The sequence below is a fragment of the Homo sapiens genome, chromosome 12 (genome assembly GCF_000001405.40).
Source record: "Homo sapiens chromosome 12, GRCh38.p14 Primary Assembly".
Lineage (NCBI taxonomy): Eukaryota > Metazoa > Chordata > Mammalia > Primates > Hominidae > Homo > Homo sapiens.
Window position 1 is genome coordinate 92,908,702 of NC_000012.12, and position 26,433 is coordinate 92,935,134.

Sequence of the window (26,433 nt, forward strand, 5' to 3'; positions counted from 1 at the left end):
GCAAAAAACATTTGCTAATGTTAAGAACCAAGATATTCAGTATAAGAAAAAATGATATAAATACAGAATCAAATAAGTAAAAAACCATTTTATATCTTAAATTTGAATTATCATTTGGGTTTTTGTTTCATTTTTTTCCTGAGACAGAGTCTGGCTCTCTCACCCAAGCTGGAGTGCAGTGGTACAATCTCAGTTCACTGCAACCTCCGCCTCCCAAGTTCTAGCAATTCTCCTGCCTCAGCCTCCTGAGTAGCTAGGATTACAGGCGTGCACCACCACACCCAGCTAATTAGTAAAGATGGGGTTTCGCCGTGTTAGCCAGGATGGTCTTGAACTCCTGACTTGTGATCTGCCTGCCTCGGCCTCCCAAAGTGCTGGGATTACAGGCATGAGCCACCGCGCCCAGCCCTGTTTCTTAACAATAATTCTTATCATTCAAAAGCTTAAAAGCAAAGACAACCCAAAAGCAAAGCGCACCCTACGTGCTTATACTATGGTCTCTAACCATCACTCCCCACTCAAAGGAACCAGAATTTTCTAGAGAAATGGCTGATTCCAGACATGGGAGAGGGAATTTACAAGATAAATCTGAAACATATTATTGTGCCAAAAAGCAAGGAAGCTTTTTGAACACAAATAAGGTCCTGTCAAAATGACAAACGTCACCTTGAAGGTACTCCCAGTAGCTAAAGCTGAGATCATTTTCACATCAGCAAAACACATTGACTGTAATTGACTGAAACATGCTAAACATATGTAAATCCGTGAGTTCATAATATAAAAATCCATGAGTTAGTCAACTAATCTTTGACAATGGAACAAAGGCAATAAAATGAGAAAAGATAGCTGTTATCGCTTGAATGTCCCCACCAAAACTCATGTTGAAATTTAATTGCAAATGTAATGGTATTGAGAAGTGAGGCCTTTAAAAGGTGACTAGGTCATGGGAGTTCCACCCTCATGAATGGATTGCCATTATTGTGAACATGGATCAGTTATCATGGGAATGGCTTTGTTATAAAGACAAGCTTGTGGCCGAGCATGGTGGCTGACACCTGTAATCCCAGCACTTTGGGAGGCCGAGGTAGGAGGATCACTTGAGCTCAGGAGCCCAAGACCAGCCTGGGCAACATGGTGAGACCCCGCCTTAATAAATTTAGGTTGGGCACAGTGGCTCACGCCTGTAATCCCAGCACTTTGGGAGACCGAGAAGGGTAGATCACCGGAGGTCAGGAGTTTGAGACCAGCCTGGTCAATGTGGAGAAACCTTGTCTCTGCTAAAAATACAAAAATTAGCCAGGTGTGGTAGCAGCCACCTGTAATCCCAGCTACTTGAGAGGCTGAGGCAGAAGAATCACTTGAACCCAAAAGGTGGAGGTTGCAGTGAGCCAAGATCACGCCACTGCACTCCAGCCTCGGCAACAGAGCAAGATTCCATCTCAAAAATAAATAAATTAATTAAATTTTAATTTTAAAAAATTAACTCAAGGTCAGGCGCGGTGGCTCACACCTATAATCCCAGCACTTTGGGAGGCCGAGATGGGCAGATCACGAGGTCAGGAGTTCAAGACCAGCCTGACCGACATGGTGAAACCCATCTCTACTAAAAATACAAAAATTAGCCGGGCATGGTGGTGCGCACCTGTAATCCCAGCTACCCAGGAAGCTGAGGCAGGAGAATCGCTTGAACTCGGGAGGCGGAGGTTGCAGTGAGCCAAGATCATGCCACTGCACTACAGCCTGGGCGACAGAGCAAGACTCCATCTCAAAAAAAAATAAATAAATAAACTCAAAATGGATCACAAACCTAAATGTAAAACACAAAACTATAAACCCTAGAAGATAACATAGGAGAAATTACTGTGGTTTGTCCATTATTTTTTTAGGTAGAACACCAAAGGCGCAATCCATGAAAGAAAGAATTAATAAGCTGGACTTCATTAAAATTTAAAATGTCAGCTCTTCAAAAGACATTGTCAAGAGTAAAAAGACAAGTCACAGACTGGAGAAAAATATTTACAAAAGACAAACCTGATAATGGACTATTATCCAAAATATACAAACAACTCTTTAAATTCAACAGTAAAAAAATAAACAATCTAATTTAAAAATAAGGCAAAGACCTTAATAGACAGGCATCTTACAAAAGAAGATATACAGATGGCAAATATGCATATGAAAAGTTGCTCCACAGCATACACCATCAGGGTAATGCAAATTAAAACAATGGGATACCACAACACAGCTAGTAGAATGGCCAAAATCCAGAACACTACCACCATCAAATGCTGACAAGGATGTGGAGAAATAGGAACAGGAATTCATTGCTGGTGGAAATACAAAATGTTACAGCTACTTTGGAAGACAGTTTGGTAGTTCCTTACAAAACTAAACATACTCTTACTATACAATTCAGTAATCACACTCCTTGGTATTTACCCAAATGAGCTAAAAACTTCTGTCCACACCAAAACGTGGACATAGAAGTTTAAAGTAGCTTTATTCATAATAGCTAAAGCTTGTAATTGACCAAGATGTCCCCCAGCGGGTGAATCAATAACTTACTAGTACACCCAGACAATATTCTCCAGCGTTAAAAAGAAATGAGCTATTAAGCCATGAAGACAATGAAGAAACTTAAACATATATTACTAAGTGAAATACAAAGTGAAAGGAGCCAATCTGAAAATGCTACATACTGTAAGATTCCAATTATATGGATTTCTGGAAAAGGCAAAACTATGAAAAAAGTGAAAAGATCAATGTTTGCCAAGAGTTAAGGGGAAGGGAAGGATGAATAGGCAAAACACAGTGGATTTGTACAGAAGTGAAAGTACTCTGTATGGTATTATAACGGTAGATACTAAAAATTTGTCCCAAAATCTACAGAATGTACAACACCAAGAGTGAACCCTACTGTAAACTGCAGACTCTAAATGATAATGATATGTCAACATAGGTTCACGAATCATAACAAATGTACCACTCTAGTGGGGAATGTTGATAATGGGGGAGTCTATGCATGTGTAGGGGCAGGAAGTACATGGGAAATCTCTGTAACCTTCACTCAATTTTATTGTAAACCTACAACTGCTCTAAAAAGTAACTTGTTTTTCAAATCTATGAATTTCCTTTTCTCAAGAAAGAGAAAATCAAAAGAAAACTAAGAAAACCTCAGTGATCACTGCTGGAGTAGCTAGTGTACCAACTCTTATTCTAACACTTAGTAATCAATGAAAAACAATTAAGTCTTTATCCTGCCTTCCAAGTATGCACTGAAATTTGGGATAACCAAATAGCCCTGGTTGATATCGAAAAGTTCTTTACAGAAAAAATTTCAGTTAATATATGTAGAAGCAATGAAAGATTTAGAAGATCATTTTGCAAATACTGCTGAAATCTAACCCAAATGACATCATAAAATCTTCTTTGAATGTTCTTACTCAAATAAGAAGTCTTTCCATCCTTTAAACTCGACTACGTCCCTTATTTATATTTCCTCTTGCAGCACTTACTCATAATACAAGGAAGAACAAAGTGGTGTCAGTGGTAGTTTGTTATGGTAATTACCATCAATGAATCAGGCCTATGTTTTCATGCCCTTGTAATTCTCTTATGTAATCCTCCCCTACATAAACTCTGGGCTGGCCATGAGACTTGCCTTGACTAATGGTAGTAGCAAATGAGACACAAGCAGAGACTTGAAAGGCGTCTGTCTGCACAATGGGATTTGTTCTCTTGTTGCTGGAAACTCCTCTGCCACCACATAAACCCAGACTAGCCTTAGACACATGTGGCCCAATGGATAAAACCAGCAATATGACTGAAGGTACCTTAGATCATCCATTCTGTTTTCCACCTTATTTTCTTTTTATAGATTTAGTGGGTACAAGTGCAGTTTTGTTAGATGGGCATATTGTATAGTGGTGAAGTCTCGGCTTTTAGTGTACCCACCACCCTAATAATGTCACTGTACAGAATAGGTAATTTTTCATCCCTCACTCTCCTCCCACCCTCACCCTTTCCCCATTTCCATCTTTACGTCTATCTGTATCCATTGTCTAGCTCCCACTTATAAGTGAGAACATGCAGTATTTCACTTTGTTTCTGAGTGATTTCACTTAGGATAACGGCCTCCAGTTCCATCCCTGTTGCTACAAAAGACATGATCTCATTCTTTTTTATGGCTGAGCAGTATTCCATGGTATACAGAAACCACATTTTCTTTATCCAATCATCTGTTGATGGACACTTAGGTTGATTCCAAGACTTTGCTGTGGTGCAAAGTGCCATGATAAATAGCCATGTGCAGCTGTCTTTTTTATACAGTGATTTGTTTTCCTTTGGATATATACCCAGTACTGGGACTGCTGGATTGAACTGTAGTTCTGTTTTTAGCTCTTTGAGAAATCTCCATACTGTTTTCCACAGAGGCTGTACTAATTTACATTCCCATCAACAATGTATGGGCATTCCCTTTTCTCCACATCCTCACCAACATGTTGTTGGTTTTGTTTTTTAATTTTTTGTAACAGCCATTCTGACTGGTGTAAGATGGTATCTCAATGCATTTTTAATTTGCATTTCTCTGATTAGCAATGTTGAGCATTTTCTCATGTTTGTTGGTCACTTGTATGTCCTCTTTTGAGAAATATCTGCTAATGTCCTTTGCTTACTTTCTGATGGACTTGTTTTTTTCTTGTTGCGTTCCATGTAGATTCCGGATGTTAGTCCTTTGTCAGATGAATAGTTTGCAAGCATTTTCTCCCATTCTGTAGGTTGTCTGTTGATTATTTCTTTGGCTGTACAGACAATTTTTACTTTAATTCCCATTTTTTTTCTATTTTTGTTTGTGTATTTGCTTTTGAGGTCTCAGTCATAAATTCTTCGCCCAGGCTAATGTCCAGAGAGATTTTCCTAGGTTTTCTTCCAGGGTTTTTACTTCCAGGTTTTTTGTTTGTTTGTTAGTTTGTTTTTGAGGCAGAGTCTTGCTCTGTCACCCGGGCTGGAGTGCAGTGGCGCGATGTCAGCTCACTGCAACCTCCACCTCCCAGGCTAAAGCAATTCTCCTGCCTCAGCCTCCCAAGTAGCTGGGATTACAGGCATGTGCCACCACATCTGACTAATTTTTGTCTTTTTAGTAGAGACATGGTTTCACTATGTTGGCCAGGCTGGTCTTCAACTCATGACCTCAGGTGATCCGCCCGCCTAGGCCTCCCAAAGTGCTGGGAGCCATCACACTTGGCCTAGTTTGAGGTCTTACATCTAAGTCTTTAATCCTTCAGTTAATTTGAGTTATCTTTCGTATATGGTGAACAATATGGGTCCAGCTTCATTCTTCTGCATATGGCTAATTTTCTATTTATTGAATAAAGTATCCTTTTTCTATTTATTGAATAAAGTATCCTTTCCCCGCTGCATTTCCCTACCCCCACCACACCCTCAGGTCTCCCCTTACCACTCACCCACCAGCCCATGCCCCCATGGCCTCTGCCCCTGCCTTTGCTTGCCTCTAGCCCTGCACTCAGATCCCAGGCCCATAATCAGAAACCACAGTGCATATTTTTGTCAACTTCATCGAATATCAATTAGTATAAGTATGTGGCTTTATTTCTGGGTTCTCTCTTCTGTTCCATTGACCTGTGACTATTTTTATACCAGTACCATGTTTACTGTAGCCTTGTAGCATAACGTGAAGTCAGGTAATCTGATGCCTCCCACTTTGTTCTGCTTAGGATTGCTTTGGTTATTCGCTCTCTTTTTTGGTTCCACACGAATTTTAGAATTGTTTTTTCTAATTCTATGAAAAACAATGTTGGTAATCTGACAGAAATTGCATTGAGGCTGGGTACACTGGCTCACACCTGTAATCCCAGCACTTTGGAGGCTGATGTGAGAGAATCACTTGAGGCCAAGAGTTTAAGACCATCCCCTGGGCAACATAACAAGACCTTGTCTCTACAATTTTTTTTTTTTTTTTGAGAAGGAGTCTCGCTCTGTAACCCAGGCTGGAGTGCAGTGATGTGAGCTCAGCTCACTGCAACCTCCACCTCCAGAGTTCGAGCAACTCTCCCACTTCAGCCTCCCAAGTAACTGGAAGAAAAGGCGTGCATCCCCACGACCAACTAATTTTTGTCTTTTCAGTACAGATGGGGTTTTGCCACATTGGCCAGGCTGGTCTTGAACTCTTGACCTCAGGTGATCCACCTGCCTCGGCTTCCCAAAGTGCTGGGATTATAGGTGTGAGCCACCGCACCTGGCCAAGCTTTGTAAATTTACTTAACTTCTCTAAGCATGAAATTCCCATTTGTAAAGTGAAACTAATAATGTCAGCCTCACAGAATTGTTGCAAAGATTAAATAATAAATATAAAATGTTTAAATTAGTGTCTGGCATTATGGTAGATACACTATAAATAGACACATATTATTATTAAGTACATCTCTCTACACAAAAAAGACCTAGAATCAAAATTTAAAAGCTGTCCAGGCACAGTGGTTTGTGCATGTAATCCCAGCACTTTGGGATGCCAAGGTGAGAGCATCACTTGAGCCAAGGAGTTCAAGACTAGCCTGGATAACAAAGTGAGACCCCGTCTCTACAAAAAATACAAAAAAGTAGCCAGGTGTGCTGGTGTGGGCCTGTAATCCCAGCTACTAGGGAGGCTAAGCCAGGAGGACTGCTTAAGCCTGGAAAGGCTGAGGTTGCAGTGAGCCGTGATCATGCTACTTGCACTCTAGCCTGGACAACAGGGCAAGAACCTGTCTTAAAAACAAAACAAAACAAAACAAAAACAAAAAAAGCTGGAAGGTACTCAGAAATCATTTGGTCCAATTGCAGTGACTTCATACATGAAGAAACTAAAAGAAAGAATAGCTGGCTTGCCTGACAACGCTCTGCTATCTAATGGTAGAGTTGCAATTAACACTTAGGTTTCTGGGATCTCAACTGATATTTTCCCTACAATCTCAAAATGTTTCTTGTTCATCTCTCTGATAACAATTAAGCCTAACTTTTCTAATCTCAATTTCTTCATTGATAAACTCTAAGGACAGGATGAATTCACAGGATCTTCCAACTCCAAAATTCTCATTCTATGATTGATTTGGAGCCATAAATTGGCTGACCTAAAAGGATGTCAAACATATTTCCAGTATCTGTATATGCTTAGTTTTCTTATGGTCATATTTAAAATTCTAAAACTTAAGTTATTAGTTACATGAAAATAATTTGTCTCTCACAAGCAGCCAAGTCAGTAAGAGACTGAGACTATCAGAACTCATTATAGATAAGTTCCTAGTACCTAAATTGAGTTTACATATATCATACAATTAACTTAATATTAAGTGAAATATTAAGTGAATATAAGTATTATTAAGTGAAATAATAAAAGTTTTAAAAATACCCACCATATGATTAAAATTGACCTACATATGTTAGGCAAGTTTAAAGTATAGGGTGTTTTGATTCATCAAATATGAATAGACAGCTACAAAAACATACCAAAATAAGGGTTAACAGTCTGCTTTAAAGAAGAAGCCACTTTTCATTTTATTTAAGTCTTAAACTCACTTAAGGGAACAGGGAAAGGTACTGACAATAAAATTTCTTGAACAGAGATCTGTGGATCATGCTCAAAATCATGGACTGTGAAACAAACTTAAAAATCTGGGCCGGGCGCGGTGGCTCATGCCTGTAATCCCAGCACTTTGGGTGGCTGAGGTGGGCAGATCATGAGGTCAGGAGTTCAAGACCAGCCTGATCGAAATAGTGAAACCCCGTCTCTACTAAAAATACAAAAATTAGCTGGGCGCAGTACCACACACCTGTAATCCCAGCTACTGGGGAGGCTGAGGCAGAATAATCGCTTGAACCTGGGAGGCGGAGGTTGCAGTGAGCCATCATCAAAGACCAAAAGTAGATAAAACCACAAAGATGGGGAAAAAACAGAACAGAAAAACTGGAAGCTCTAAAAATCAGAGCGCCTCTCCTCCTCCAAAGGAACGCAGCTCCTCACCAGCAACAGAACAAAGCTGGATGGAGAATGACTTTGACGAGCTGAGAGAAGAAGGCTTCAGACGATCAAATTACTCTGAGCTACGGGAGGACATTCAAACCAAAGGCAAAGAAGTTGAAAACTTTGAAAAAAATTTAGAAGAATGTATAACTAGAATAACCAATACAGAGAAGTGCTTAAAGGAGCTGATGGAGCTGAAAACCAAGGCTCGAGAACTACGTGAAGAACGCAGAAGCCTCAGGAGCCGACGCGATCAACTGGAAGAAAGGGTGTCAGCAATGGAAGATGAAATGAATGAAATGAAGTGAGAAGGGAAGTTTAGAGAAAAAAGAATAAAAAGAAATGAGCAAAGCCTCCAAGAAATATGGGACTATGTGAAAAGACCAAATCTACATCTGATTGGTGTACCTGAAAGTGATGGGGAGAATGGAACCAAGTTGGAAAACACTCTGCAGGATATTATCCAGGAGAACTTCCCCAATCTAGCAAGGCAGGCCAACGTTCAGATTCAGGAAATACAGAGAACGCCACAAAGATACTCCTCGAGAAGAGCAACTCCAAGACACATAATTGTCAGATTCACCAAAGTTGAAATGAAGGAAAAAATGTTAAGGTCAGCCAGAGAGAAAGGTCGGGTTATCCTCAAAGGGAAGCCCATCAGACTAACAGCGGATCTCTCGGCAGAAACCCTACAAGCCAGAAGAGAGTGGGGGCCAATATTCAACATTCTTAAAGAAAAGAATTTTCAACCCAAAATTTCATATCCAGCCAAGCTAAGCTTCATAAGTGAAGGAGAAATAAAATACTTTACAGACAAGCAAATGCTGAGAGATTTTGTCACCACCAGACCTGCCCTAAAAGAGCTCCTGAAGGAAGCGCTAAACATGGAAAGGAACAACCAGTACCAGCCATTGCAAAATCATGCCAAAATGTAAAGACCATCGAGACTAGGAAGAAACTGCATCAACTAACGAGCAAAATCACCAGCTAACATCATAATGACAGGATCAAATTCACACATAACAATATTAACTTTAAATGTAAATGGACTAAATGCTCCAATTAAAAGACACAGACTGGCAAATTGGATAAAGAGTCAAGACCCATCAGTGTGCTGTATTCAGGAAACCCATCTCACGTGCAGAGACACACATAGGCTCAAAATAAAAGGATGGAGGAAGATCTACCAAGCAAATGGAAAACAAAAAAAGGCAGGGGTTGCAATCCTAGTCTCTGATAAAACAGACTTTAAACCAACAAAGATCAAAAGAGACAAAGAAGGCCATTACATAATGGTAAAGGGATCAATTCAACAAGAAGAGCTAACTATCCTAAATATATATGCACCCAATACAGGAGCACCCAGATTCATAAAGCAAGTCCTGAGTGACCTACAAAGAGACTTAGACTCCCACACAATAATAATGGGAGACTTTAACACCCCACTGTCAACATTAGACAGATCAACGAGACAGAAAGTCAACAAGGATACCCAGGAATTGAACTCAGCTCTGCACCAAGCGGACCTAATAGACATCTACAGAACTCTCCACCCCAAATCAACAGAATATACATTTTTTTCAGCACCACACCACACCTATTCCAAAATTGACCACATAGTTGGAAGTAAAGCTCTCCTCAGCAAATGTAAAAGAACAGAAATTATAACAAACTATCTCTCAGACCACAGTGCAATGAAACTAGAACTCAGGATTAAGAATCTCACTCAAAGCCGCTCAACTACATGGAAACTGAACAACCTGCTCCTGAATGACTACTGGGTACATAACGAAATGAAGGCAGAAATAAACATGTTCTTTGAAACCAACGAGAACAAAGACACAACATACCAGAATCTCTGGGACGCATTCAAAGCAGTGTGTAGAGGGAAATTTATAGCACTAAATGCCCACAAGAGAAAGCAGGAAAGATCCAAAATTGACACCCTAACATCACAATTAAAAGAACTAGAAAAGCAAGAGCAAAGACATTCAAAAGCTAGCAGAAGGCAAGAAATAACTAAAATCAGAGCAGAACTGAAGGAAATAGAGACACAAAAAACCCTTCAAAAAATCAATGAATCCAGGAGCTGGTTTTTTGAAAGGATCAACAAAATTGATAGACCGCTAGCAAGACTAATAAAGAAAAAAAGAGAGAAGAATCAAATAGACACAATGAAAAATGATAAAGGGGATATCACCACCGATCCCACAGAAATACAAACTACCATCAGAGAATACTACAAACACCTCTACGCAAATAAACTAGAAAATCTAGAAGAAATGGATAAATTCCTCGACACATACACTCTCCCAAGACTAAACCAGGAAGAAGTTGAATCTCTGAATAGACCAATAACAGGATCTGAAATTGTGGCAATAATCAATAGCTTACCAACCAAAAAGGGTCCAGGACCAGATGGATTCACAGCCAAATTCTACCAGAGGTACAAGGAGGAACTGGTACCATTCCTTCTGAAACTATTCCAATCAATAGAAAAAGAGGGAATCCTCCCTAACTCATTTTATGAGGCCAGCATCATCCTGATACCAAAGCTGGGCAGAGACACAACCAAAAAAGAGAATTTTAGACCAATATCCTTGATGAACATTGATGCAAAAATCCTCAATAAAATACTGGCAAACTGAATCCAGCAGCACATCAAAAAGCTTATCCACCATGATCAAGTGGGCTTCATCCCTGGGATGCAAGGCTGGTTCAATATACGCAAATCAATAAATGTAATCCAGCATATAAACAGAACCAAAGACAAAAACCACATGATTATCTCAATAGATGCAGAAAAAGCCTTTGACAAAATTCAACAACCCTTCATGCTAAAAACTCTCAATAAATTAGCTATTGATGGGACGTATTTCAAAATAATAAGAGCTATATATGACAAACCCACAGCCAATATCATACTGAATGGGCAAAAACTGGAAGCATTCCCTTTGAAAACTGGCACAAGACAGGGATGCCCTCTCTCACCACTCCTATTCAACATAGTGTTGGAAGTTCTGGCCAGGGCAATTAGGCAGGAGAAGGAAATAAAGGGTATTCAATTAGGAAAAGAGGAAGTCAAATTGTCCCTGTTTGCAGATGACATGATTGTATATCTAGAAAACCCCATTGTCTCAGCCCAAAATCTCCTTAAGCTGATAAGCAACTTCAGCAAAGTCTCAGGATACAAAATCAATGTACAAAAATCACAAGCATTCTTATACACCAACAAAAGACAAACAGAGAGCCAAATCATGAGTGAACTCCCATTCACAATTGCTTCAAAGAGAATAAAATACCTAGGAATCCAACTTACAAGGGATGTGAAGGACCTCTTCAAGGAGAACTACAAACCACTGCTCAAGGAAATAAAAGAGGATACAAACAAATGGAAGAACATTCCATGCTCATGGGTAGGAAGAATCAATATTGTGAAAATGGCCATACTGCCCAAGGTAATTTACAGATTCAATGCCATCCCCATCAAGCTACCAATGACTTTCTTCACAGAATTGGAAAAAACTACTTTAAAGTTCATATGGAACCAAAAAAGAGCCCGCATCGCCAAGTCAATCCTAAGCCAAAAGAACAAAGCTGGAGGCATCACACTATCTGACTTCAAACTTTACTACAAGGCTACAGTAACCAAAACAGCATGGTACTGGTACCAAAACAGAGATATAGATAAATGGAACAGAACAGAGCCCTCAGAAATAACGCCGCATACCTACAACTGTCTGATCTTTGACAAACCTGAGAAAAACAAGAAATGGGGAAAGGATTCCCTATTTAATAAATGGTGCTGGGAAAACTGGCTAGCCATATGTAGAAAGCTGAAACTGGATCCCTTCCTTACACCTTATACAAAAATCAATTCAAGATGGATTAAAGATTTAAACGTTAGACCTAAAACCATAAAAACCCTAGAAGAAAACCTAGGCATTACCATTCAGGACATAGGCATGGGCAAGGACTTCATATCCAAAACACCAAAAGCAATGGCAACAAAAGACAAAATTGACAAATGGGATCTAATTAAACTCAAGAGCTTCTGCACAGCAAAAGAAACTACCATCAGAGTGAACAGGCAACCTACAAAATGGGAGAAAATTTTCGCAACCTACTCATCTGACAAAGGGCTAATATCCAGAATCTACAATGAACTCAACCAAATTTACAAGAAAAAAACAAACAACCCCATCAAAAAGTGGGCGAAGGACATGAACAAACACTTCTCAAAAGAAGACATTTATGCAGCCAAAAAACACATGAAAAAATGCTCATCATCACTGGCCATCAGAGAAATGCAAATCAAAACCACAATGAGATACCATCTCACACCAGTTAGAATGGCGATCATTAAAAAGTCAGGAAACGAGAGGTGCTGGAGAGGATGTGGAGAAATAGGAACACTTTTACATTGTTGGTGGGACTGTAAACTAGTTCAACCATTGTGGAAGTCAGTGTGGCGATTCCTCAGGGATCTAGAACTAGAAATACCATTTGACCCAGCCATCCCATTACTGGGTATATACCCAAATGACTATAAATCATGCTGCTATAAAGACACATGCACACGTATGTTTATTGCGGCACTATTCACAATAGCAAAGACTTGGAACCAACCCAAATGTCCAACAATGATAGACTGGATTAAGAAAATGTGGCACATATACACCATGGAATACTATGCAGCCATAAAAAATGATGAGTTCATATCCTTTGTAGGGACATGGATGAAATTGGAAATCATCATTCTCAGTAAACTATCACAAGAACAAAAAACCAAACACCGCATATTCTCACTCATAGGTGGGAATTGAACAATGAGATCACATGGACACAGGAAGGGGAATATCACACTCTGGGGACTGTGGTGGGGTTGGGGGAGGGGGGAGGGATAGCATTGGGAGATATACCTAATGCTAGATGACGAGTTAGTGGGTGCAGCGCACCAGCATGGCACATGTATACATATGTAACTAACCTGCACATTTTGCACATGTACCCTAAAACTTAAAGTATAATAAAAAAAAAGAAAAAAAAAAAAAAAAAAGAATCGCTTGAATCCAGGAGGCAGAGGTTGCAGTGAGCCGAGATCACACCACTGTACTCCAGCCTGGCGACAGAGCAAGACTCTGTCTCAAAAAAAAAAAAAAAAAAAAGAAAAAAAGAAAAGAAAGCTATTAGAAGATGGTCAGAGAATGACAGATTACATTAATGCATTTAATATTTCAATAATTTCCATGTAGTCTGTACTCCCTGTTTCTATTCCCTTACTTCCTAGTCATTCATTTCCCCCTGTGACTCTCTTGAAACTGAAATAGGTATGACCCAATTGTCACATTCAGCGGCCACTTCTCAGTCCTTATTTGACTCAACTTCTCTTCAACATTTACACATACCCAACACCTGGCCTCTACTTGTCTTCTGAGTGCTGGACCTGTATTTTCTCCTGCCTACTGAACATCTCCACTTGGGAAGTCCAGACCTCTAGTTCACATTTATCTTCTTCCCCAACATTTTCTTCCTCCTCTACCCTTAATCTTACATCTATTCCACCACCCTCACAGCTACCCAAACTACTCACAAGTCAACAAGTTCTAGCAATTCTATCCCTCTTATTGAAAATCAATTTATTCTTTCTCCATCCCCAAAACTGCTGCCTGAATTCAAACTTTCGTTATCCCTAGACTGAGGGCCAGAGGTCCAGAAATTCTGATTCAATTGAGAAACTCAAAAATCTGGTTTGTTTTTAAGAATTCCAAATGACTCCAATATGCAACGATTTTAAGAACGACAACAACTTTCTAGCTGATCTCTCCCTAATGAAGTCATCCTCTCTACAGGGCCAACAAGTAGTCAATATATACTACTGAAAAACCACCAGGCATCAAGCACCACGTTAGACCTAAACATAACAAAGAAAGACAACAAAATCTCTACCCTGGCGGGGTGCGGTGGCTCACGCCTGTAATCCCAGCACTTTGGGAAGCCGAGGCGGGCGGATCGCCTGAGGTCAGGAGTTTGAGACCAGCCTGGCCAACATAGTGAAACCCCATCTCTACTAAAAATACAAAAAAAAAATTAGCTGGGAGTGGTGGCGGGCACCTGTAATCCCAGCTACTCAGGAGGCTGAGGCAGGAGAATTGCTTGAACCCGGGAGGCAGAGGTTGCAGTGAGCTGAGATTGCACCATTACACTTCAGCCTGGCCAACAAGAGCAAAACTCCACCTCAAAAATAAAATAAAATAAAATAAAATAAAATAAAATAAAGATTACCTGGGAGAAATATTTTTGGAGGGTTTTTCCTTATTACAGATTTGATAACTTTAAAATTCTCTGGCCGGGCGCGGTGGCTCACGCCTGTAATCCCAGCACTTTGGGAGGCTGAGGCAGGCAGATCACGAGGTCAGGAGATCGAGACCATCCTGGCTAACACAGTGAAACCCTGTCTCTACTAAAAATACAAAAAAATTAGCCAGGCACGGTGGTGGGCGCCTGTAGTCCCAGCTACTCGGGAGGCTGAGGCAGGAGAATGGCGTGAACCCGGGAGGCGGAGCTTGTAGTGAGCCGAGATTGCGCCACTGCACTCCAGCCTGGGCGACAGAGCGAGACTCCGTCTCAAAACAAAAAAAAAAATTTTCTGTGGCTCCTTACTGTCTACAGTATAAGGTCCAAAACCCTTCAAGCTACCTGTTGCAAACATCCCATCCACATCCAGAAATACGCACAATCCCCCTACTCTATACTAAACTATATCATGCTCTTGGATTTGTCTGGTTCCTATCTCTAAAATGCCCTTCTGTCCTTTTTCCCTCCTTGCCTGAGTCACTGCCATCCTCTGCAAAGACTTCCACAATCTCTATTCCTTGCCCTCCCCTACCACACCCCCTCTCCACCACATAGTTACTTTTTCTTTTGTGCTTACAAACTTTTCCTCTGTGTATCTATTACACTTATCACATTGTTTTGTAATTATTTATCTGTCTCCTCCATTAAAACTCAGCAGGTTTTTTTTTTACTCTCAAGAGTGTTTTGCACAGTAGTTAGCACAAAATAAATATTCGGTAGTACATAAAATGAATGTACCTATGTTCTAAGTCCTCATCTACCTCATCTACAAAAAAAAAAAAAAAAAATGGAGATTAGAAAAATAAAGGAAGTGATAAGAAAAGTGTTCCTTAAAGAAATTTGGAGTTTATAATTATAATAACACTGAAACACCATTTTAAAAAAATCAGCCAGGTGTGGTAGTTCACACCTATAATCCCAGCTATTCCTGAGGCTGAGGCAGGAGGGCCACTTGAGCCCAGGAGGCAGGGGCTGCAGTGAACGTGACGGTGTCACTGTGTCACTGCACTCCATCCTGGCTGACAGAGCAAGACCCTGTTTCAAAAAAGAAAAAAATAAGAAAAGAAAGTTAAACACCAAAAACAACAACAAAACACCAACATTAGCAGCAGCTAACATTTAAGACTTTTTTTTTTTTTTTTTTTTTTTGGGATGGAGTTTTGCTTGTTGCCCAGGCTGGAGAGTGCAATGGCACAATCTCGGCTCACTGCAATCTCAGCCTCCCAGGTTCAAGCAGTTCCCCTGCCTCAGCTTCCCTAATAGCTGGGATTACAGGTGCCCGCCACCACGCCCAGCTAATTTTTTCTATTTTTAGTAGAGACGGGGTTTCACTATGTTGGCCAGGCTGGTCTCAAACTCCTGACCTCAGGTGATCCACCCACCTCAGCCTCCCAAAGTGCTGGGATTACAGGCATGAGCCACCGCGCCTGGCTGAGACTTTTATACATATTAGTTATCTAGTTCTCAACTTTATAAGGAGGCTAGTATTATTACAACTATTTTACTGAGACACAGAGAAGTAACTTCTCCAAAACTACACAGATAGTAAATGAAACAGGATACAAACCCAGGTAGTCTGGCATCAGAGTTCATGTTCTTAACTACTAAATTACATTATTTCTTTAGCTCAAGCAAAAGGCCACTGGAATTAGAGAAGAAAATTGAGTACTAGCCCTGGTTCTTTTCATTTCTTAACGTCTTCTTTATTCTTAGTTCTAGTCCTGGTTCTTTAATATCTTAATCTCTTCTTTATTCCTAACATGCTAAAAAAAAAAAAAAAAAAAAAAAAAACTACTCAAAAAGAAAATCATTCCATTAGCTGTCACTTTTTAAAATTCACTTCAATAAATTAGCAATACTTTCATCAAACTTAGATGGGCAACTAATCTGGGAAGCCTTCCCAACATCTAAAACCAGGGCCCTCTTGCTGGGTGTTCTTGGGGCATCCTGAGTTTGTCCTTCCTAGAACTCATTCAAGAGTATAGTTGTATGAATCTCTGAACAATTCCTCTCTCTTCCACTGGACGCTAAACTCCACAAAAAATTCATGACTACTTTACCCATCATTGTCTGCACAGCACACAGTTGGCCCACAAAAGATGTCTCAAAAAAAAAAAAAAAAACACTAATCACAGTTTTTTTGTTTTGTTTTGTTTTGTTTTTAACACAGGGTCTCACTCTGTTGCTGGAGTGCAGTGGCACGATCTTGGCTCACTGCAACCTCTGCCTCCCAGGTTCAAGCAATTCTCCCACCTCAGTCTCCCAAGTAGTTGGGACTACAGGCGTGCACCACGATGCCCGGCTAATTTTTGTATTTTTTGGTAGTGACGGGGTTTCACCACATTGACCAAGCTGGTCTCGAACTCCTGATCTCAGTGATCTGCACGCCTCGGCTTCCCAAAGTGATGGAATTACAGGCATGAGCCACTAAGCCAGCCCACAGTAAGTTATAATACTTAAGAAAGAAATGGCAACAAGGTTTACAAGCTGCCTAAGGTACTAAACGTTGATTAAATTTCTAACCATCAAGTACTTTAAATTCATGTTTTTCTTTGAAGGACTATTAAGTAAAATATTCAATACATACATATTGGAGCTACTTCACTTTGGTTTTGTTTTGAGGTTTTTTTGTTTTTGTTTTCCAGCTTCTTTCAAGCCTCAGAGAAACACCTTAGTAAGCTAATGAAAAAGGAGGAGCAGGAGGAGGGACAAAAGCAGGAGAACCAGAAACCAAATTTCCGTAAAGTATCCTGAGACTTATTGATGATGTTCAAACACTTTGAGTTCTAATTGATGGTAAGCAGTTTGTCTGTTTCTTCTTTTAAAAAATGCTATTTAAAGGAAACTATTCAGAAGAAAATAAGAATAGTTAAAATGAAAAGTTCATCTAAAAACAAAATGCTAAAGGAATGCCACATAATTTTTTTTTTTTTTTTAGACGGAGTTCCGGTCTTGTTGCTCAGGCTGGAGTGCAATGGAGCAATCTCAGCTCACTGCAATCTCCACCTCCCGGGTTCAAGTGATTCTCCTACCTCAGCCTCCTGAGTCGCTGGGATTATAGGCATGCACCACCACTCCCGGCTAATTTTGTATTTTTAGTAGAGTCAGGGTTTCTCCATGTTGGTCAGGCTGGTCTCGAACTCCCGACCTCAGGTGATCCGCCCGTCTCGGCCTCCCAAAGTGCTGGGATTACAGGAATGAGCCACTGCACCCAGCCAAGGAATGCCACATAATTTCAAAGCACAGAGTCCATTTCAAATAAATCTCTAAATTAACAATAGCTTTAATCTTATAGCTTAATATCTGTGCTGAGAAATAAGATTAGCAGGGAGGGGTAAAATAGGTTGCCATGTTACACAATTTAAAGATTCAAGTTATACTTGTTGGTAAATACCACTTGTAGAGTTAATAAAATATATATTCTACCTTCTAAACTAGTAAATCACCAGATTTAAGACATTTATCAAAATGTCCCTATTAAATACTCAGCATTAACACTGACCCAACTACAAGATAAAAGCTGAACTCCTTCAAAGGGACTCTTACGTCCTCTCACAATTTGGTCTCTAGCCACCACGGTAGCTTCATCTCTTACTAATTGCTACAGACCATCTCACTTCCTAAGCTTCATTGTTCACACTCCTCACAGTACTACCTGCGCCTTTTATGACTCCATCTCTTTGCATTTGCTGTTCCCTCTGCCTGACATGCCCTTCCCTCTTCTGAGCTGTGAATATGCCCCCGTCCCTGAAGCTTTTCCTAATTGCCCTCACCTCCCACAGAGTGCCTCCTGGGTCCTCTGTCCTCTTCATTATTCTATTACATAGCACTGTCATTACTTTTAAATGTTCACCTCCCAAACAGCCTGTGAGTTCTAAAGGGAGGACCCACAGCTTAATCAACTGTTTCCTACCCCTTAGCATGAAGCCTGGCATTTACTGAAACTCAATATAAATACACTGAATAAAAGAAAATTAAGTACTTAACTGTGAGAAACACTTCAAACTTTCCTACTAAAGAGTTAATGCATTTAACACAGTGATTCTCAACCAGAGGCAATTTTGCCCCTAGGGGACATTTGGTAAAATCTGGAGCTATTTTTGGTTGTCACAAGGGGGAAGGGATATAGGGGAATGCTACTGGCATCTAGTGGGGGTAGATGCCAGGGATGCTGCTAACATCTTACAAGGCACAGGGCAGCCTCCCACAACGCAGAATTATCCAGTCACAAATGCCAATAGCGCCGACGTTAAGAAACTCAGTTGTCAACTGACTTATTCAGAAGTGATGATTCAATATCACATCTCTGCAATAACCACAATCAATTTCACTTTTGTAGTTTCAACAGAAGCTTCTTTAACAGTTGATAGGTATGCACCAACATTAAAAATGATCTTCATATAATCTCGATGTTTAACTTTAAACCAAGATTACTAGAAAGCATCCCATATTTCTGAAAACCAATCTATAACTACAGCTGAGCTACCCTTAAACCAGTAAACACTTTTATTTGTAAACTTCAAAGCAAACCACAGGCAAACTAATTTTCACTTGCAGAACTATGACAGAAACACAATCTGAAACATGAGGTAATCAGTTCCTCCAGGTCTGATAAAAGAAAAATCTCCTAAAGCCTGAAAGTAAATCATGCACAGATGTCTTTACTGCTGAACTAAGGAAGTGATGGGGAAAGTAAAGGACATGCCCTTGTTACTGCCAAAATCATCGCTTACCGGGATTTCAAAATTCACAAAACACTGCAAAATACAATTAAATGTCAACACAGGTTGTCAGATAAAGAAGTTAACTATTTCTCCCTCTAATAACTGACCAAGTTTCACATGACTTCATTCTTTCAGGAGAAAGCTAGGCAGAAGCAAGAGCACTCCCTTCCTATCTACTGGATGACTCAACTCTCTTCCGCACATTCCTCGGCTGAATCCTACAAATTCACTAATTTCTTTTGTCCTTTGAACTAGTTATCCTACTCCCTCGGTAAAGAACTAATAGGCTCGGCACCTACTTTTCAATCATTTACATTTTGTTACACCCTATCAGCCTCAAAAAGAAAAGAAAAAAGCTATACCAAAAAAAAAAAACAAATTTAAGTTGACAGGTACAATAACTCTTACAGGAAAAGAGATGTGAATTATGTTATTCTAGTAACTGATTCTTAAATGATACACCTACAGTTTTCTAATGCTCTAATCTTTCTATCCTCAAGGTTTTCCAGATTTCAGAGACAGCACAGGCAGAAACTAAGTGTATATACCACTTGATCAAGCTTACTGCGGATTTATTCTTGGATAGCTAAAATAAGGTAGTGGGGCTTGCACAGAAAACATATTTTTAATTAAAAAAAAAGTTTCCAACAGTGAGTAACATCTTCCTTCTCGGCTGACTGTGCCAGTGTCAGTCCCACGCCTGGGCCCAGGCTAGGCCGGGGCTCACCACACCACCCTCCACTGTGGTCCAAAGGAGAAAGCAGGGCCGTGTGTGGCAGGTGCGCATCGTGTCAAATTGGGGGGCACGGGGAGTGCGGCGGGTGGGGAAAGGCGAAGCAAGCCGCCCGAATCTCCCATGGGGCGTTCTCCAGCCCGGCAGGCGGCGGCTGGCCCGTCCCACGGGCACCAACTCTCCATTTTCACTCCCACTCAGGGTTCCCGGGAGGAACGCGCCGGCACCACACCCTCCAGCTCGCAGCCCGCTCGCACACACGGAGCCCCGCGCCGGAGCGGGCGCCAGGCCTGGACGCGCGGGGCCACCAGGGCTCTGCCTGCCGCCCCGCCGCGCCGGCCCCACCCGCCCTCCCCGCCCCCGGGCCGGGCGACCGAGGCCTAAGCGCCTGCCGGGCTGTGGGGCCTAGGGAAGGAAGGAGCCCGCGCTGAGGAGGGGCGCCCGCGCCGCGGCCCCGAGCTCCGGCTGTCCCGCTCACGTGCTGCCAGAAAGACGGTTTCACTCTCTTACCCTCTGTAAAATCCTCCTTAACATGGTTTAACCACCACCCGGCGCCGCCGCGGTGACTCTCCAGACCCTGCGCGGGGCCACTCACTACTCGGGGTGCGCGGGCGGGAGGGACTGGGCCGGGAGGGGACCGGGAAGGAGGTCGGGGCGAGGCGGTGGCGACGGCCGCTCGGGCGGCCCCGACTTCCCCACAGGCGGCGAGAGGGAGCACGCGAGAGAGAGCGAGCGAACGACTAGGCAGCCTGCGAGCGCCTCCAGCCCGCCCGCCGGGCAGCCCCCGTAACTGACAGATGGGCGGGCCCGCCCGCGGCCGCCGGGGGGCGGGGCGGTGGCGGGCCCGCCCCTCGCCTGTCCATTCGCGGGAGGCGGGGCTGAAGGGGGCCGGTCCAGGCCAGCGACCAATCGGAAGCGGTGGCAACGTGGGCGGCTGCGTGACAGACAGGCGGCAGGACGCTGTCGCCGCAGCTTCTTCCGGCTAGCTGGGGGACGCCGAGGCTGCGGAGTGCACGCCTGGGCTCCGTCAGAGGGCCGCGCCCGCGCGACGACCGCGTGCCCGCTAGTGGGAGGCGGGCGAGGACCCCTGGGGGTGTCCCTCCCTGACCCAGGCGGGAGGAGGGGACGCCTTAGGCTGTTTTGTAAAATGTGTCGGTGTGACCCTTCCGGCGATGGCTCCTGACTCGACGTGGTATTGAGCCTGAGCTATATGCTAGTTTCTGCTGGAAACGCTGACTCTGCCTCTTAGCCCCTGGGTTGAAGCCGACTAGAGAATCTCAGACGTGCTTAACCGGTCTGTTGGGCTTCCCTGCCCTTTTCCAGTCCCAGGTTTCCTTTCCCTGCTCCCTTCCTGCTTCTAATTTCAGCCAAAGAGAAAGCAAAGATTTAGAAAAGAAGGGTAGGAAGAAGCTGGAATTTGAATTGGCAAGAGAAGTTTGAGGTTGTCTTTTCTAGATCAAAACAATTTTTAATAGGCTGATGTTCACATGTTGCACTTTCTAAAGCCCGTGCTTGACCTCCTAAGGAATTTTAAGTCCTATTCTGATAATCGATTTATGAAGTAAATTGTCATTAACGCCTCTGTTTTATAGATTAAGAAGAAAATGAGGTCACAGATAAATATCGTGCCAAAACGACGTGGTCTTTGAACTGACCTCCAGGCACGATGTCATTATTTAACTCGAGAAATCACAGCTTCTGCGTCCTACCATTCTGCCAATATTCACAGCCAAGAGGCTCAACTTAACACCCTGGTAGAAAAAGAGAAGCCTTTAATATTGCTTGAATAGGGAAGGAGAGGGAATAATGGAACTAACCTTGCTGGGAGGGAAAAAAAAAAAAAAAGAAAAAACCAACAGACCACTGAATGAAGCCTATGAAGCAATGAATGGAGTGCTTTTTGGAAAGCACTTCCAGATCTTTTGAAAAGCAGCACAAAATTAAATATTATTTGCAAATCAGTTAATGAATAGGAAAATGTTTTGTAAAGTATAATGCATTATATAATGTAATATGATATTTCTATCCCAAATATATTTGGTTTTTTATTATGTGTGTGTGTGTCTCTCGATGGTGCAGCAGCACGGTCATGCCTACAGCTAATATATGAGTAATCACTAGTGATAATGCACTTACAAAGAACATACTTTTCCATCTTTCTAAACATGAGGTGCTTTATTTTCAGACAATATGGGAAACATTCTCAGCGACATGGGGTGATAAAAGTGACTTTTTTTCTCTTTTTTGTTTGTTTTTCAAAAATTAGTTTAGGGTCAGGCACACTGATTTTATGCCTGTAATCCCAGCACTTCGGGAGACGGAAGCAGACAGATTGCTTGAGCTCAGGAGTTTCAGACCAACCTGGACAACATGGCAACAACTCGTCTAAAAAAATATTAGCTGGGTGTGGTGGCATGCGCCTGTGTTCCTAGCTACTCAGGAGGCTGAGGTGAGAGGATCACCTGAGCCCAGGGAGGTTGAGAATGCAGTGAGCTATGATCTCACCACTGTACTCCATCCTGGGTGACAAAATGAGACCCTGTCTTTAAAAAAAAAAAAAAAAGTTTAAAACTGCTTATTAATGTTACATGCTAAGACCTTCTTTACTGGAATTCTCATGTAGAATCCTTTGAATAATATAATAGGCTCTCATCTACAGCTGAGCTAGATGGATTATTGGAAAATCTGTGTACTCCCCTGCACAGTTCATGATAACTCCATCACTGGGATAATACACTGGAGAACTTAATTACTCCAAAAGAAAATAAGCAGTGGGTGAGAGCTAACCATGTAAGAATACCCTTCACTAATCTAGCAGCTTCCTATACATAGCAGTTCTGCTTACCCTGTCTGACCACTAATTCCCATCCGTTCAGCTCTTGTGCATTAATATTCCCCCACCATCTATTTACTTTGATCCCCAGCAAGACCTCAAATCCATTGGCCCTTCTTACTTTCTTAATATCAGTCATTTCCCTAGCCTACTCGTTTCCATCAAAACCCAACCTAAAGCCCATGGTCCAACTTTACAATCTTCCCTTTGCAAATATGCTTAACTTCTTCACCTTTCTTTTTTTTTTTTTTTTTTTTTTTTTTTTTAGATGTAGTCTGTCGCCCAGGCTGGAGTGCAGTGTGCAATCTCACTGCAATCTGTGCCTCCTGGGTTCAAGCAATTCTCCTGCCTCAGCCTCCCAAGTAGCTGGGACTACAGGCACCCACCACCATGCCCAGCTAATTTTTTGTATTTTAGTGGAGATGGGGTTTCACCATGTTGCCCAGGCTGGTCTCAAACTCCTGAGCTCGGGTAATCCACCCACCTCTGCCTCCCAAAATGCTAGGATTACAAACATGAGACACCATACCCGGCCACTTCTTCACCTTTCTCTTCCTCCATTGCTTTTGTCTAGCAGAGGCCAAACCCTGGTTAAGTTCAATTAACCACCTACTCTCTGCTGCACAGGATCCATAGGAATAGAAGGCTGGGCACAGTGGCTCACACCTGTAATCCCAGCACTTTGGGAGGTGAGGGGCGTGGATCACCTGAGGTCAGGAGTTCAAGACCAGTCTGGTGAACATGGTGAAACCCTGTCTCTACTGAAAATACAAAAATTAGCCGGACGTGGTGGCGCACGTCTGTAGTCCCAGCTACTGGGGAGGCTGAGGCACGAGAATCACTTGAAGGCAGGAGGTGGATGGAGGTTGCAGTGAGCTGAGATCACGCCATTGCACTCCAGCCTGGGCAACAGAGTGAGACTTCATCTAATACGTATATATATATGAATAGGAAAGTGTCTAAATATCACTAGAGATACACATATATAACTGGGGTTGTTGGGCTCATTCTGCATTAATAACCACAGATCTCAGGCATATGTCTCCACAACAAGAATATCAATTTTCTGAGCACAAGGATCTTGTCCCCCATTCAGTGCTGTGACCCCAAAACTAAAACATTGCTCAATTCATGGTAAGCACTAAATAAATATTTGTTGAACGAATGAAGGAAGGATTGAAGGAATGAAAGGTATGTAATTACTCCTTTAACAGTTGCCCAGCAGCATTCCTGTTACACTTTATTTCTGTCTTCTTTCTCAAGATCTTCAAGATGGCCTACACATCTATAGTTGCTGCACTTTCTTACTGTATATTTTCTTCTCGACCCATTCCAATCAAGCCTCTGTAGCCTGTGTCCCACTGACTCCAATAAGGCTGTTCTTATGATCACTAATGACCTGCATGTTTCCTATTCCAGTGACTACTTTGTTGTTTCGACTTCGACTGTTTCCTATATAGAAAACAGTTGGCCACTCTCTCCTTGAGTTACTTTATTCTCTTGGCTTCCTTGACACTATACTTTCTGGTTTTTCTCCTCATTGCCCATTCCCTCTATGTCTGATGGCTTCTCTACTGCGTATCTTAATGTTGGAGTGCCCCTACTCTGTTCTGGGGCCCTTGCTTTTATCTGTCATACTCAGCCTAGAAGTAATCTCAACTAGTCCCCTGACTTTTAATTTCATTTATCAGGCCAGCTACGGTGGCTCACACCTGTAATCCCAGCACTTTGGGAGGCCGAGGTGGGTGGATCACGAGGTCAGGAGTTCAAAACCAGCTTAGCCAACATGGTGAAACCCTGTCTGTACTCAAAATACAAAAATTAGCCCGGCATGGTGGTGCACATCTGTAATCCCAGCTACTGGGGAAGCTGAGGCAGGAGAATGGCTTGACCCCAGGAGACGGAGATTGTGGTGAGCCGAGATCGTGCCACTGCACACCAGCCTGGGCAATAGAGCGAGATTCCATCTCAAAAAAAAAAAAAAATCATCTACTTCATATTTCTTCTTGGATGTCTAGTGAGCATATCAAACGTAACATGGCCCAAACAAAACTGTTTCATTTTTATCCTCAAAACATCGTCACCAGTTTTCCTGTCTCCATATGTATCACTACAAGATACTTAGTTGATTCAAACCAAAAATCTCTTTATCTCACCACTTCTCCTCCTTCCAGCGAATCCATCAGGATATCCTGACAAATCCACCTCCAAAATATATCCCAAATCTGACACTTCTTGCCACTTTCACCCTAGTTTATAGCCCCTTCATCTCCTGTCAAGACTACTAGAATAGTCTTCTAGTTGGTCTCCCGCCTTTTACTTTGGCTTCTCTGTAATCCATTCATTACACAGAAGCCAGGGACGACTTTTTAAAATGCAAATCAAAAATGTCACTGCCCTCCTAGATTGTAGCTTCCATTATCATCACAATGAAATCCAAATACCTTATCCTGGCTTACACGCCCTGCTGATCTGGGCCTGCCTGCTTCTCTGCTTTCCACTTAGAATATCCTCCCCTTGACCCACTATGCCCCAGCTGCTCTGGACTTTTCTCAGTTGCACAAAACCTGTTCCTGCCTGTACACCAACCAGTTCCTATTTAGGGAATGCTTTCTCCTGAAATCTCATAGTTAATTTTGTGTCATTCAGATTATTCCCTTAAGGTCACCTCCTTAGAGAGGCCTTCAAGGACCACCTCATCCAAAGTGCTTCGAATCTCTGGTCACCCATTCTAATTCTCTACATGGTAGAGAAACTACCATTTCTGACTTCTCTTGTTTGTCTGCATATGTCTTCCCAACAAGAATGTCAATTTTCTGAGCACAAGGATCTTGTCCCCTCTTCAGTGCTGTGACTTCAAAACCAAAACATTGCTCTATTAATGGTAAATACTAAATAAATATTTGTTGAATGAATGAAGGAAGGATTGAAGGAATGAAAGGTATAGAATTACTCCTATAACAATTAACTTCCAAGGTTCCTCAAGCTAACATCTTCCTATTTATGAAGAAGTGATCCAAATGCAACAATCCTGAAAGCAACCCAACAATCTTTTGATCCTATCTGACAATCTTTTTTCTTTTTACATAATGTGTATGTATGTTTCTTGACTCTTCAAAATTTCCCAATATTTATGGGAAACAACCTATTTCTTACTTTCCATAAATTAGAACATTGGGCCAGGCATAATGGCTCACACCTGTAATCCCAGCACTTGGGAGGCTGAGGCGGGCAGGTCACCTGAGGTCAGGAGTTCAAGATCAGCCTGGCCAACATGGTGAAACCCTGTCTTTACAAAAATACTAAAATTAGCTGAGCATGATGACAGGTGCCTATAACCCCAGCTACTCAGGAGGCTGAGGCAGGAGAATCCCTTGAATCCGGGAAGCAGAGGTTGCAGTGAGCCAAGATGGGGCCATTGCACTCCAGCCTGGGTGACAGAGTGAGACTCTGTCTCAAAAAACAAAACAAAACAAACAAACAAACAAAACATTGTTAAGGCACCTTTCTTGTCAATTTCCTGTGCTATAACCAAATAATTCATTTCCAACCAGAAGCAAGTCCATGAAAAAAATCACAATATCACTTGAACCCGCAAGGCAGAGGTTGCAATGAACCAAGGTCGCGCCACTGCATTCCAGCCTGGGCAATAGAGCAAGAAACCATCTCAAAAAAAAAAAAAAAAAAATCACAACAAAAATAAGCAAAGTGTAGATGATGGCTCTGTATAAGTAAGGCCAAAACAGTTTATGGATTCTTTAGAATCCAG

The 26,433-nt window shown here is 41.9% G+C and overlaps 1 protein-coding gene across 2 annotated transcripts in view, besides 3 other annotated features; it reads right to left on the minus strand.

Annotated features, from left to right (window-relative positions):
* Positions 1-20,594, minus strand: part of EEA1 (early endosome antigen 1) — a 158,659-nt gene extending 138,065 nt beyond the window's left edge. For both annotated transcript variants that reach the window (NM_003566.4, XM_011538814.3), the window contains exon 1: positions 20,342-20,594. In NM_003566.4, the coding sequence (NP_003557.3) occupies positions 20,342-20,365 (24 nt within the window). In that variant the 5' untranslated portion in view covers positions 20,366-20,594. The remainder of the gene's footprint in view (positions 1-20,341) is intronic.
* Positions 479-679: a silencer, noted in NCBI's record as "peak1889 fragment used in MPRA reporter construct". NCBI's record gives its function as "represses an SCP1 promoter by STARR-seq MPRAs in K562 erythroleukemia cells {active_cell/tissue: K562}" and the evidence as "EXISTENCE:reporter gene assay evidence [ECO:0000049][PMID:32103011]".
* Positions 18,754-18,883: an enhancer, noted in NCBI's record as "active region_6754". NCBI's record gives its function as "activates an Ori minimal core promoter by ATAC-STARR-seq in GM12878 lymphoblastoid cells {active_cell/tissue: GM12878}" and the evidence as "EXISTENCE:reporter gene assay evidence [ECO:0000049][PMID:35858748]".
* Positions 19,984-21,063: a silencer, noted in NCBI's record as "silent region_4703". NCBI's record gives its function as "represses an Ori minimal core promoter by ATAC-STARR-seq in GM12878 lymphoblastoid cells {active_cell/tissue: GM12878}" and the evidence as "EXISTENCE:reporter gene assay evidence [ECO:0000049][PMID:35858748]".